This window comes from Homo sapiens, chromosome 4 (genome assembly GCF_000001405.40).
Source record: "Homo sapiens chromosome 4, GRCh38.p14 Primary Assembly".
Lineage (NCBI taxonomy): Eukaryota > Metazoa > Chordata > Mammalia > Primates > Hominidae > Homo > Homo sapiens.
The window spans coordinates 74182517-74197418 of NC_000004.12; the positions used below are offsets into that span (position 1 = coordinate 74182517).

Sequence of the window (14902 nt, forward strand, 5' to 3'; positions counted from 1 at the left end):
TTCAAACATACAAGGGCTGAGTTCTTTCTCCCTTTAGATCTTAGCGTAAATGTCACTGCTTTGGGGAAGCTTTTCCAGCCCATGCCCCTAAGTTGTTTTCATTCTGTTGTTCTCTATTTGGAACCTCCTTTTTTTCTGTGACAGAGACAATTTAAGTTCTCCAAATATCCACATGTCCTCTTATATTTTGGGGCTTCTCTTTGCAATTAGATTGAGCCCATGTGACTACTGGACAATAGATTGTAAAAGGAAGAGACATTTTTGGAACCACTTCCAGACTGAGATGGTTAAAAGCTGTTGTGCCCTCCTCCTTCACTTCTGTTTCTGTTGCATTGTTCTTGGAAACTAGGTATTACAGATGGTTGTAAATTACAAAAAGTAGGGCAGTAGAATTCTTATTGGACTTGACATGAATAAGAAATAAATACCCTTTTATAAATGACTGGGATTTCAGATTTTTTTAAACCTATAAACTCACAGATCAAAGAAGCTCACCAAACTCTCAAGCTCATGAAACATGAAGAAAACTATGCCAAAGAACACCATAATCAAATTATTCAAAACCACTGATAGAAAAAAATCTTAAAAGCAATAAGGGGGTTGGGGGAGGGCATTACATACAAAGGAACAAAGAGGACAGTGACAGAATATTTATTGATAGAAACAATGCAAGCAAGAAGACAATAGAACAATATCTTTAAGTATTAAGAGGAAAAAAAACACCTGTAAACCCAAATTTCTATACCTAGTGAAAATACCTTCAAAAACAAAGGCAAAAAGTCTTTTATGAGACATGTGAGGAAGAGAGCTCAAAACTAAAAACAATTATTTACTAGCAGACCTATGATCTAAGAAATACTAAAAGGCCCGGGTGTGGTGGCTCATGCCTGTAATCCCTGCCCTTGTGGGTGGATCACTTGAGGTCAGGAGTTCAAGACCAGCCTGGCCAACATCGGGAAACCCCATCTCTACTGAAAATACAAAAATCAGCTGGGCATTGTGGTGCACACCTGTAATCACAGCTACTCAGGAGGTTGAGACAGGAGGATTGCTTGGACCTGGGAAGTGGAGGTTGGAGTGAGCCAAGATCATGCCACTGGACTCCAGCCTGGGCAACAGAGCAAGACTCCATCTCAACAACCACAACAAAAAAGAGATATTAAAGGAAGTCCTTCACCTAGATGGAAATGATACTAGATGGAAATATGGATCTGTCCAAGGAATTAAGAGCTCTGGAAGTGGTAACTACCTGAATAAATATATATTATTCATGTATATATATGTTATAATATATTGTTCTTATTCTTATTATTCAGATTATTTTAGAAGATAATTAATGTTTAACCAAAGCCAAAAACAATGTAGTTTGTGGTTTGTAACATACAATTAAAATGTATGGCAACAATAGCACAAAAGTTTGTATGGAAGAAATGGTGGAATATTATCGTTTGATTCCTGTAATATATGTGAAATGACATAATATTACTTAAAGTTAGCCTGTGATAAGTTAAACATGTATAATATGAAACCGAAAGCAACCATGAAAATAACACAACAAAGAGTTATAGCTAATAAGCCAACAGATAAGAAAAAGTAGAATGATCACAGATATTCAGTTAATCTAAAGGAATATAGAACAATGGAGAAAAGACGACAAAGATGTTAAATTTATTCCTAGAAAATGTAATGTAAATAATCCAATTAAACATCAGAGGTTGTCAAATTGGTTAAAAATCAAGTCCCAACTGTATGTTGCTTACATGAAACTACACCTTAACTATAAGGACACAGGGAGGTTAAAGCAAAAGATTGGGAAATATATGCCATTCTAACATGAATCAAATGAAAGCTGGAAGAGCTATTTAATATGAAAGTATATTTCAGAGCAGAAAATATTACTTGGGATAAAGAGGTCATTTCATAATAATTAAAGAGTTGGTTTATCAAAAGTAAATAACAACCTTAATATCTTATATACCTAATAAGAAAACTTCAAATTACATGAACCAAAAGCTAATATAATTGCAAGGAAAAATAATCAAATAAAAAATTATAGCCATGTTTCAAAACTTCTTAATAATGGAGAAAACAAGTAGACAGAAAATCAGTAAAGAATATAGAATACTTGTAGTATGATATCAACCAATTTGACATAATTAAAATTTATAGAATACTCTCCCCCAAATGGCAGATAATACCCTTTCTTCAAGTTAATGTAGAATATTTACCAGTATATACCACATGCTAGGCCATAAAACTAATCTCAATTTTAAGAGAATTCATGTCACACAAAACATGTTCTCTGACCACAATGGAATTAAATTAAAAATGAGTAACAAAACCTTCTGGAAGGCTGTGCACAGTGGCTCATGCCTATAATCCCAGAACTTTAGGAGGCCAAGATGGGCAGATCAGGAGATTAGTAGATCGAGACCGTCCTGGCTAACACGGTGAAACCCCGTCTCTACTAAAAATACAAAAAAAAATTAGCTGGGCGTGGTAGCAGATGCCTGTAGGCCCAGCTACTCGGGAGGCTGAGGCAGGAGAATGTCCTGAACCTGGGAGGCGGAGCTTGCAGTGAGCCGAGATTAAGCCACTGCACTCTAGCCTGGGCGACAGAGCGAGACTCCATCTCAAAAAAAAAAAAAAAAAAAAAAAAAAAATCTGGAAAATCCCTAAATATTTGAAAAGTAAATAGCATACCTCTAAATAACCCCTGTGTCAAATAAGAAAATGAAAGAGAAATTTGAAATTGTTTTGAACTTTTTGTGAAAATGTAACACATCAAAGTTTGTGGGATTCTATTAAAGCAGTACTTAAGGGAAATACACAGCACTAAACACATATCTTAGAAAAGAAAAAAAGGTCAGAAATCAGTAATCTCATCTTATACTTTAAGATGGTAGGAACATCAGAGCAAATTAAACACAACATAAAAACAAAAAAAGAAATAATAAAGAACAGAGTAGAAATTAATGAAATGTAAAATAGAAAATTCATAAAAATCAGTAAAACCAAAGCTAGACATATCAAGGAAAAGAATAGATACAACTGACCAATACCAGGACTTAGGGTGGTAATATCACTACAGATTCTACAGATATTAAAAGGGCAGTAAGGGAATATTCTCAGTAACATTATCCCAATTTGACAAGTTAAATGAAATGGACAACTTCCTTGAAAGATATACATTACCAAAGCTCACTCAAAAAGAAATGTCTTAATAGCTCTGTTAAGCAATTGACTTTGTAGTTCAAATCCATTCCACAATGAAAGCTCTATGTCCAGATGGCATCCCTGGTGAATTTTACCAAATATTTAAGGAAGAATAGTGATAAAGAAGAGGGAATGCTTTCTAACACATTTGAAGCCAGCATTACTCTGTTACTAAAAACCTTGCAAAGACATTACAAGAAAGGAGAATTATGAGTCGGTATCCTTCATGAAGATAGATTCAAAAGGTATTAACAAAACATTAACAAATCAAATCCAACAATTTAGAAAACAATTCATCATGACCAAATGTGTTTTCTTTCAGGAATCCAATACAATTTAACATTAGAACAGTAAACAATGTATTTTACCATATTAACAAGCTAAAAATGAAAATCATATAATCATTTCCATAGATACAGATAAAGTATTGGATAAATTTCATCATTAATTCCTGATGAGAAACTTTCAAGTAACTAATAATAGAAGAGAACTCTTTCAAGCTGATAAAGGGAATGTATGAAAAATCTATAGGCAACATCATAATTGATTATGAAACACTGAGTGTTTTCCTCTTACAATCAAGAAAGTCAAGGATGTCCACTATTACCATGTCTATTTAACATTTCACTGGAAATTCTAACTAGCACAATAAGACAAGAAAAGCAGATGACATGATTGTCCCATGGAAAATTCAAGGGAATCCATGAAAAAAAAAAAAAAAAAAAAACAGCTACTAGTACTAATAAGTGAGTTTAGCAAGATTGAAGGATACAAGCTTAATATAGAGGAATCGATTTTTATTCTGTATACTTTCAACCAGATATTGAAATTTTAAATATACATTTATAATAGCATCAAAAATATGAAATCCTTAGGCATAAATTTGACAAAAGATGGGGAAAACCTATATATATTAAAAACTACAGAACATTTCTGAGACAAACTAAAGGAGGCCTAAATAAATGGATTAATAAACCATGTTTATGGATCAGAAGACTAAATACTGTTAAAATACCAATTTTCCTCCAACTGATTTGTAGGTTCAAGGTGACCTTTGGTAAAAACTTGGGAGAAACTGAATAAAATTCATATGGAACTGCAAATGACCTAAAATGGTCCAAACAATTTTGAAAATGAGTAACATGGAGGATTAACATTGCCTGATGTCAAAATGAGTTATAAAGCTACAGTAAGCAAAGCAATGTAGTATTGGAATCAAGATAGAAAATCAGATCAATGAAACAAAATAGAAAGTCCAGAAAGAGATTCACACTTATATTGATAACTGATTTCTGACAAAAGTGGAAAGGCAAATAAGTACAGAAAAGAATGCGATTTTCAACACATAGTACTGGCTGGAACAATCAGATATTCAAATGCAAAAGAATATCTAGAAAAGAAATGCTAGAAATTAAAAACACTCTAACAGAAATGAAGAATGCTTTGATGGGCTCAACTGTAGACTGGAAATGGCCAGGAAAAGAATCAGTAAGCTTGAAGTTATGCCAGTAGAAATTTCTCAAAATAAAACACAAAGAGGAAAAAAACCCAAACCGCTCCAGAATAGAATGTCAAAGAACTGTGGGATATTTTCAAAAGGTACATGCATTTGGAATAGCAGGAGAAGAGAAAACAGGACAGAAAAAACTTTTGAAATAATCATTGCTGAAACTTTCTAAAAATAATGACAGAGAGAATAGCAAGAGCAAAAATGGTAAAAGTATTTGAACAGACACTTCAAAGAAGAAATACAAATGGTAAATAAGCATATGAATAGATGTTCAACATCATTAGTCATTAGGGAAATTCAAATGAAAAGTATTAACAAGATACTACTGCAAACCCATTAGAATGGCTGAAATTAAAATATCAACTGACTATACTATGTGTTGGTGATGATGTGGAGGGATAGTAACCATCATGTTCTCCTGTAGTGGAGATGCAAAATGGTACATTTTGGAAAACTGGAAAATAGTTTGGCAGTATCTTAAAACGTTAAATACACACACACACACACACACACACACACACACACACACTGGTCCAGCCATTCTGTGCCTGTGTATTTACACACACACACACACACACACACACACACACACATTGGTCCAGCCATTCCGTGCCTGTGTATTTCCCCAAAAGAAAATGAAACATATGTCCATACAAGTATTTGTATATGAATGTTCATAGAACCTTTATTTGTGATAACTAAAAACTAGAAACAACCCAAATGTTCATTAGCAGGTCAATGGATAAATAAACTGTGATATTCCATACAATAGAATACTACTCAGCAATATTAAGGAACAAAATATTGATGCATATTACAATATAGATTAATCTCAAAGTAATTATGCTGAGTGAAAGTATCTAGACAAGAGTATATACTCTGTGATTTCATTTAAATAAAATTATATGAAATGAAAACTAATGAATTGACAGCATATCCGTGGTGTATTAGTCTGCTTCATCTATCATAAGAAAATACCATGGAATGAGAGGCTTAAACAGCAGAAATGTATTTTCTCACAGTCTGGAGGCTGAAAGTGTGCAATCACGGTGCCAGCATGGTTGGGTTCTAGTGAGAAGTTTCTTCCTAGCTTGCAGACAGAGCCTTCTCATTGTGTCCTCACATGATGAAGAAAGCAAGTTTTCTGGTTTCTCTTCTTATAAGGACACTAAATCATATCACAAGGGCCCTACCCTCATGAACTCATCTAAATCTAATTGGCCTCAGAAGTCCTATCTCTAAATACAATCACATTAAGTGTTACAGCTTTAATATATGAATTTCGGGGGGACATAATTCAGTCCATAACAAATGTTTATAGATAGTTGGAGCTGAGGGGATAGGAAAGAGAGGAAAGGATTATGAAGAGAGTAGGAGGAAAGTTTTCAGAATGGTAAATATGTTCATTATCTTGACTAGGATTCTGGTTTTATAGGTATATATATATATGTGTATGCATATGTATATATATGGGTATATATATATGTGTATACATATGTATATATATATGGGTATATATATATGTGTATACATATGTATATATATATGGGTATATATATATGTGTATACATATGTATATATATGGGTATATATATATCAAAACCTATCAAATTGTACTCTCTAAATGTATGCCGTCTATTATATTCAAATATTCTTCAATAAAGCTGTTTATCAAAAATGCAAATCTACTAGAAATAGAAAAAATACAATAAAACTATATAGTAAAGGACTCAAAAGAATGACAGGCACAGGACTCAGGATGAAATTTACATCTGTTTGGAGCAGGACGGAGAATGGACTAATTGGGTAGACTATAAGGTTAAATATAGATTAAGGTTAAATATAGATCAAGGCGATAACTTTTGTTTGGGGTAGTAGATTTGCATATGCCTAATTTATTATGAAAAACTAATTTAAATTGCATTGTGTTTGGACCAATATTGAGGTTGTGTCACAAGCCCATGAATTATGATTAATCCAATTTCTGCACTTGAAGTTCATTCAAAGAAAAAATACCCAATATTTTGTTTCAAATTCTTTTTGACATTATTTGTTTAGTCACATAGAAGCAAAGCCATCCTCACACAATATTATTTATCCAACTTAAAAAGAAAAACTTTCTCAGAGGGAGGTTTATATCAAAGAGCTTATGAGCAAGGGGAAGAAAAGTGAAGACCACTCTCTTGCATGTAAAGTATGTTAACCACATGATGGCAGCATTGAGCAAGCAGTGTTTTTCTTCCTTTTTTTTTTTTTTTTTTTTTTTTTAAAGATTAATGGTTTACACTGGAAGGTGAGTAAATCACTGAGATATAATTTACATAGCAGTGGGATTGGTTGGTGTCTATAGCCACTTATGTCTCTCTCTCTCATTCATATTCATGTGGAAACCATGCCCAGAGATTTTTAGTGGCTCAAATCTATAGAATTACATCTTTTTGAACAGTTATTATCAAAAATTTGTTATATCATCTAACTTGAGATGATTTGCTTTTCACAATATCTTCAAAATCATGAATTTTTTGAACAAGTTACTTTTTTATTTTTTTCTTTACCATTATATCCTCATCTGTTTTTGAGTGTATTCAGCTTGAAATGATGACAAAGCATTTACCAAAATCAAAAGGCCCTATGGAAGATGGATATTTCTCTGTGGAAAGTATTTTAAAATATCTAGTTATATGATAGTTTTCTGACCCTCATCATTCATTTACCAGGTCAACGAATATTTACCTAGAATTTATGTAACTCTGTACTAGGTACCCGGGGAAAAGGTACCTTTTAGTCAGGGTACTGACCAAATAGTCAGAAAGCAATTTGAGAATAAATCATTGTCCTTGAAAAGTTTGCAAGCAAGATTCCCAAAAAAACATCTTTTCTTTCTCCTTGTGTGTTTAAAAGAAGCTTATTAGAATTGGCCTGTTCACTAATCTAAGTGTTTTCTTCTATAGAATACACTATTTCAAGGACAGTACTGTATATTTGACAGAAGTTACCAAGGGCTCAATAAACCAAGGTGTCCTTAACATTGCTTACAAGAACAAGGTAATTTTAGGATCTCCATATACTCTTCAGGTCACTTAAGATAATTATATAGGGTAAAGGTTAGCAACCTTTGCGTGATGTGTAGGTTCCAACTTCATTAATTTTTATTTTTTATTTTTTTACATCCTATGAAGTAAGCCTGCCTGAGGACATCCTGGGGCAGTTTTCGTGGCTGTAGGAGAGGCTCAGAAGGGTGGAGAACCAGACCCACCTTTTTCCGGCCTAGAGAACTCCTTCCAGTCTACCTCCAAGCTCCACTGTGTTCTCAGAATTTGGGGTGGAGTAGCTCAGCGAGGTTAGAGTGTGTTCCCATTCCTTTTCTGTCCCCTTGTCCCTTGATGTTGAAACAACTCTTAAATAATATTGGGAAAGTGGTAGGCATCTGATAAGTATTTGCTGTCTTGAAATCTTGATGTAGATCCCAGAGGGTGTAACTTAAATATTTATTGGCTTGAGAACAGTGAACACAGTTTCCAAAAGTATCTCTTATTTACTCTTAGAAAATAAATCATTGAGAGACTATAGGTAGTTTGAGTAGGCAGACATTTATTCCATTAAAATATAAATTCCAGAGGCAAGAATTTTGTCTGTTTGCCTCACTTATATATTCATTTTTGTTTTTTGTTTTTTTGAGACAGAGTCTCGCTGTATTGCCCAGGCTGGAGTGCAGTGGTGTGATCTTGGCTCACTGTAACCTCTGCCTCCTGGGTTCAAGTGATTCTCCTGACTCAGCTTCCTGAGTAGCTGGGAGTACAGGTGCCGGCCACCATGCCCATCTAATTTTAGTATTTTTACTAGAGATGGGGTTTCACCATGTTGGCCAGACTGGTCTCAAACTTCTAACCCCAGGTGATCCTTCAACCTCAGCCTCCTGAAGTGTTGGGATTACAGCTTCCTGAAGTGTTGACGTGAGCCACTGTGCCTGGTCCTCACTTATATATTCTAAACCCCTACTGGTAATATGGTAGACATTCAGTAAATATTTGTTGAGTAAATAAATGATTGAATTTTCAAGGGCATTGTATACACACTCAGGATGTGGACTTTGATCTATTAGCATAAAACTTTACCTGGTCGTTTTTTTTTTTCATGTCCAGAAAGGAAGAAGTAAATGAAAAACAAGAAACATGAATCTTTCACCTTAAATTTATGTTGGAGGATGTAATAGTACCAGATAGTCAATAAGGTAGATGCAACAATATGAAAAATTATGATTTTTAACATAAGCCACCTTTGGTTTTTCTTTATATTTTTATTTTTATTTATTTATTAATTTATTTTGAGATGGAGTCTTGCACTGTTGCCTGGGCTGGAGTGCATTGGCTTGATCTCAGCTCACTGCAACCTTCGCTTCCCGGGTTCAAGCAGTTCTCCTGCCTCAGCCTCCCGAGTAGCTGGGATTACAGGCACCTGCCACCACGCCCAGGTAATTTTTTGTATTTTTAGGGTTTTGTATTTTTAGGGTTTCACCATGTTGGCCAGGCTGGTCTCAAACTCCTGACCTCATGATTCACCTGCCTCAGCCTCCCAAAGTGCTAGGATTACAGGCATGAGCCACCGTGCCTGACCTCTTTGTATTTTTAAAAGGAGGATGTTAGAGGATATGGAAGGATCAGACATATTTTCCTTATGGCAGCCTGTTCTTCTTACTGTGTCCAGCTGCCCACTAATTTTGTCTCAGTTTCTTCATCTATAAATTAGGGTTAATAGTAGCCATTTATTCAATAAATATTTATTGAGTGCCTCTATGGTCCAGGCACTATTATTTGTACTGTGGATCAGTGAAAAAGAAAAAGACAGAAATTTCTGTCCTTTTGAGTAGCAGAGGAGGCGGTTAAAAAATATATATAATAAATAAACAAATATATTTACTAGATGTTGATATGCTATCGGAAAAAGGAAGAAGTAGATCATGGTAGGAGGGATAGGATGTTGGAGGACAGGTTGTATTTTTATCTGACCGCCTCCCAACATATTGTTATAAAAAATTCAAACATACAGGAAAACTAAAAGACTGGTACAATGAACACTCATATGCCTTCAAACTAGATTCTGTAGTTGTTAACATTATGCTATATTTGTTTTGTCACATACCTATCCATTTGTTCCTTCACCCGTCCATTTTATTTTTGAAGCATTTAAAGGTAAGAACACTTAATATACCCCTAAAACTTTAGTGTATACATCATTAAGGTTCATTATTTATGTTATGTGAAATTTACATGCATTGAAATGTACACATCTTATATGTATTATTCCATAAGTTTTGAAAAATGCAAACTCTCATGTAATCTAAACCCCTATCATATTATGGAACATTTTTGTCAACTGAGTTTCTTCATGCCCCTTCCCAGACAGTCGCTATCTCTTTCATCCTCACACTCAGGTAACCACTGTTCTGATTTTTTTCGTATACATATTCCATTTCAATATCTTACTTTGTAAAGTGGCTGTTTAAAATGTTTAAAATGTTATTTTAAAATGTTATTTATTAAAAATATTATTTATCTTTTAATGATTTAACTTTGAGTGCTTTTTTTTATATATCTGGTTACAAGTTCTTTAACTGATAGGTGTTTTGCAAATATTTTCTCCCAGTCTTTGGCTTACCTGTACATTTTCTTAATGGTGCCTTTTGATGAGCATAAGATTTTAATTTTTCTTAAGTTTAATTGGTGGTATTTTTATTTTATGCTTTATGTGTTTTGTGTTATTTTTAAGAAACCTTTTCTTACACCCAGCATACAATGATATTCTTCTAAATTTTCACCTAGAAACTATATAATTTTAACTTTTATGTTTAGATTTCTAATTGATTTCTAGTTAATTTTTCTGTGTAGTATGAAATAGTCATCATAGTAAGTTTTGCCACCCCACCCCCTACAATATAGCTGCCTAGCTGTTCAAGTACTATTTGTTGAAAACACTTTGCTTTCGCATTGAATTACTATGGCATTTTTGTGGCATTCACATTCTATAAGTGTGACTCTAAAGCTGGGCTCTCTTTTCTTGTTCCATTGATCTATTTGTCTGTTCTTATGCCTGTATCACACTGTCTAGATTACTGTAGCTTTGTAGCAAGTCTTGAAGTCAGGTATTATAAATCTTCTAACTCTGTTTTCAAGATTGCTTTGGATATTCTAAGTCCTTTAAATCTTCATATACATTTAAGAATCTAACAAAAAACGACATAGGATTATGATTGAGATGATTGCAATGACTCTATAAATCAGTTTGGGAATTGACATCTTACCATCATTGAGTCTTCCAATCTATGAACATGGTATGCCTTTTATTTATTTACGTCATTTGTCAGCAGTCTTTTGTAGTTCTTATTATAGATGTTATTCTCAAATTTTAAACAATTTACTCCTAAGCATTTTATGATTTGTCAGCTATTGTAAAGAGTATTTGTAAAATTTCATTTTTCTGATAGTTACTACTTGTATCAGGAATTCAATTGTTTTCTTATATTGACTTTGTAATCTTGCTTAATTCACTTTATTAGTTCTATTAATTGTTTTATAAATTTTTAAGCATGCTCTGCATAAACAACTATGCCATCTGTGATCAGAGAATTTTACTTATTCTATTCTGATCTCTATGCCTCTTTATTTTTTTGTTATCTTATTACACCCACTAGGCCTGCCAACAAAGCATTAACTAGAAATTGTGGGAGTGGACCTTATTCAGATCTTGAGGGAAAAGGTTCAGTATTTCACTATTAAGTAGGATGTTAATTGTAAAGTTTTTTATAAATGCCTGTATCAGATTGGGGACTTAAAGATTTGCTTCTCCTCTGGTGAACCACAGGTACAATCTCTGGTAAGTTATCTTATCCTTAGATGAGCTTCTTGGGGTTTGTTTCCTGTGTGTTTGTTCAGGGGTCATTCAGAGATACAGAATTTGTATACAATGTATGGGACTCCTTTCTGTGGCTTTCTCCTTTCCTGGATATATCGCTTCAATTTTCAACTACGGTGTTAGCCCCAAACTTCATCTTTTGATCTCTTAAGCAAGTAGGACTGAATATTTCTATCCAAATTCTAGCTGTCCTGTGGCTAGAAAAGCTTTTAAAGTGGAGAACTCTTTCAGTGATTTTTTTTTCTTTAAGCTATCTACTTTCCTCTACATCTGTTTGTTTTTAGTGACTTTCCATTTTTTTCAGATAGTTGTTTTTGTATTTTTTCAAATGATTTTACTGAAGTTTGCAGTTGTTTTCTGTAAGAAGTTTAGTCCAATATAAGCTACTTCACAATCACTAGAAACTGAACCTACATTTTTAAATAGTGTGGTCAGAATTGTCCTCACTGATGTTAATCAAGTTTAGCCTAAAGCTGCCTCCTTACATATTTAAGATTAGCCTAAAGGTTTTTCTGTATATTGTGAACTATAACAAGTAGAGGTGTAAACCAATCGTGGCCCACACCTGTGCCAATCACTGAGTTTTGGCCAATCAAGTGTAGCCAGCTGCTCGAACCATGTTCAAATAAGGCAAACACTGAGCTGTAACCAATCCAGTTGTTTCTGTACCTCACTTCTGATTTCTGTGTGTTGTGTCCCTTTTTTTGTCTACAAATCTTCTTCTACCACGTGGCTGTTCTGGAGTCTCTCTGAATCTGCTGTGATTCTGGGGGGCTGCCCAATTCGTTAATTGTTCATTGCTCAATTAAACATCTTTAAATTTAATTTGGCTGAAGTTTTTCTTTTAACAGTGAGAATGTGGTATTTAAGAAAACATTTGAAAGAAGGTAGGGATTTAGCCTAGGTGACAGTTCTTTTTTAGGAAAGCCTTCCAGGCAGATAGAAAGCTATAGCTAAGGTGGCAAAATGCCTCATGTTTTCAAGGAACATCAAGGGGACCAGCTTGATGCTCACAGATTGAGAGAAGACGAGAGTAACCAGTGATGGGATTAGACACATAGCTATGGTTTTGGTGCAGTAAAAATCATGTAGAGCCTTGTTTGCAATTTTTAAGGTAATAACATTGCAGGGTTTTGAGAAAAGCAATGTGATCAAATATGTACTTCAAAGGTATAACTCTATTGCTGTTTTGTGAATAAATTGTATGGTTGCACATATAGAAGAAGGAAACTAATTAGGAGGCTGTTTCAAGAATTGACAGGAAGAATAATGTTCACTCAAAGTAGAGTAGTATCATGAACATGGTGAGACTGATAAAGTGCTAGATATATTATTATGAAGAAAGTCAACAGATTTTCCAATGGTTTGGATGTTAGGTGTGAGAGAAAGAGGGATATTTAAGATGACTCCAGGTTTTCTTGGCAAGTAGCACAGAAGGATGGGTTTCCCATTATGAACCCTGAAAATCTGAGACAAATGTCAGTTTATTTTGCCAAGGTTGAAGACATGCACCCATTAGACAGCCTCAGAGTCCTGAAAACATGTGCCCAAGGTAGTTGGGCCACAGCTTGGTTTTATACATTTTAGGGAGTCGTGAGACATCAATCAACATATGTAAGAAGTACACTGGTTCCATCCAGAAAGGCGGGGACAACTTGAAGCAGGGGAGGAGTCTTCCAGGTCACAGGTAGGTGAGAGACAAATGGTTGTATTCTTTTGAGTTTCTGATAAGCCTTTCCAAAAGAGGCAATCAGAACATTCCTCTATCTCAGTGAGCAGAAGGATGACTTTGAATAGAATGGGAGGCAGATTTGCTCTGAGCAGTTCCCAGCTTGAATTTTCCCTTTAGCTTAGTGATTTTGGGGGCCCAAGATTTTTTTTTTCACACCATCAACTGAGATGGAGTAGTTATAAGTGAATCAGTTTAAGACAGACTGTGTCCTAAAAGGCTCACATTCATAAATGATAGAGATAATTAAACAACTAATATCATTAACTGAACTAGTGTGCTAAGTATTTTTTATAGCAGTTCCATGGGAAAGCAGAGGAAAAAAATATTGTTTCAATTTGTGATCATTTCAACAGGGGGCAATTGATCAATGCATTGAAGAATGAATAGGATGTGAAAAAAACTGAGAAGAAAGGATTAGTAGTGAAAAAAATCATCATGAGCAATAGCAATGCAGAAGTTAATGCTAAGGGCTTGGGGAAAGGACATGGTTTGGTGTGACTAGAGTGGAGGGCATGTGATGATGATGGTTGGTAAAGGTATGGAACACACAGAGAAGAGACTATAGGAAAAATAAGCTAAAGGACACAATGTTTACTATACGGATGAGCTTGCACTTATCCAACAGATGTGGGGGAAGTGGAAGGTGGCATTTTTAAACAGTAATGTTGTAAAAATCTATAGGTGGAAAATAAGCCAGTAATTTGTTTGTTCCTTTTTTTTTCTGTTCATTGTCCAAAGACAATTAAGCATATTATAAATACATCGCAAAAATATGTATTCAGTGGCCAGGCTCAGTGGCTCATGCCTGTAATCCCAGCACTTTGGGAGGCCGAGGTGGTGGATCACGAGGTCAGGAGTTTGAGACCAGCCTGGCCAATATGGTGAAACCCCATCTGTACTAAAAATACAAAAATTAACCAGGCATGGTGGCACATGCCTATAGTCCCAGCTACTGGGGAGGCTGAGGCAGAAGAATCTACTGAACCCAGGAGGCGGAGGTTGCAGTGACCTGAGATCATACCACTGCACTCCAGCCTGGGGAACAGAATGAGACTCTGTCTCAAAAAAAAAAAAAAAAAACCCATACAAAACATATATTCATTCAATATAGTAAATCTACAGTGTCCTAAAGGCATTATCTGAGCTGTTTTATTACAGTGGTTCAGATTTTGATTTGATGACTTCTGTTTTTCCTAGCATGATTTAATGACTTCTCATAACTTTAAATAGAAGGGGGGAAAACACAAAGTGAATAAAACCAGTTTTATCATTCATTTGGGTAAGATATTAAATGGTTGGTTGTTTACCAATGTATCCTGTGAATCAAACATGTTGTATAACTGCTGTGAGAAAATTGATGCTATTAAGTCTCACGATTGTTTTTTCTGTTCAAGTTATGTGCCCCAAGGGTGAGATTTTGGGAGACTTTTAGTAGCAGTCAGTCACAAACAGGAAATGTATTTATTTCTCTTACTCATATAACAAAAGGAAGTAGGATTACCTGTAATCCTAAATGTAAAATGTTTGATGCTTTT

General features: G+C 34.6%; 1 protein-coding gene across 20 annotated transcripts in view, besides 1 other annotated feature; it reads left to right on the top strand.

Annotated features, from left to right (window-relative positions):
• Positions 1 to 14902, top strand: part of MTHFD2L (methylenetetrahydrofolate dehydrogenase (NADP+ dependent) 2 like) — a 188540-nt gene that overhangs the window by 67957 nt on the left and 105681 nt on the right. The gene's annotated exons all lie outside the window — the stretch shown is intronic.
• Positions 8636 to 8930: an enhancer, noted in NCBI's record as "tiled region #11080; HepG2 Activating DNase matched - State 9:DNaseU". NCBI's record gives its function as "activates a minimal TATA promoter and a strong SV40 promoter by Sharpr-MPRA in HepG2 cells {active_cell/tissue: HepG2}" and the evidence as "EXISTENCE:reporter gene assay evidence [ECO:0000049][PMID:27701403]".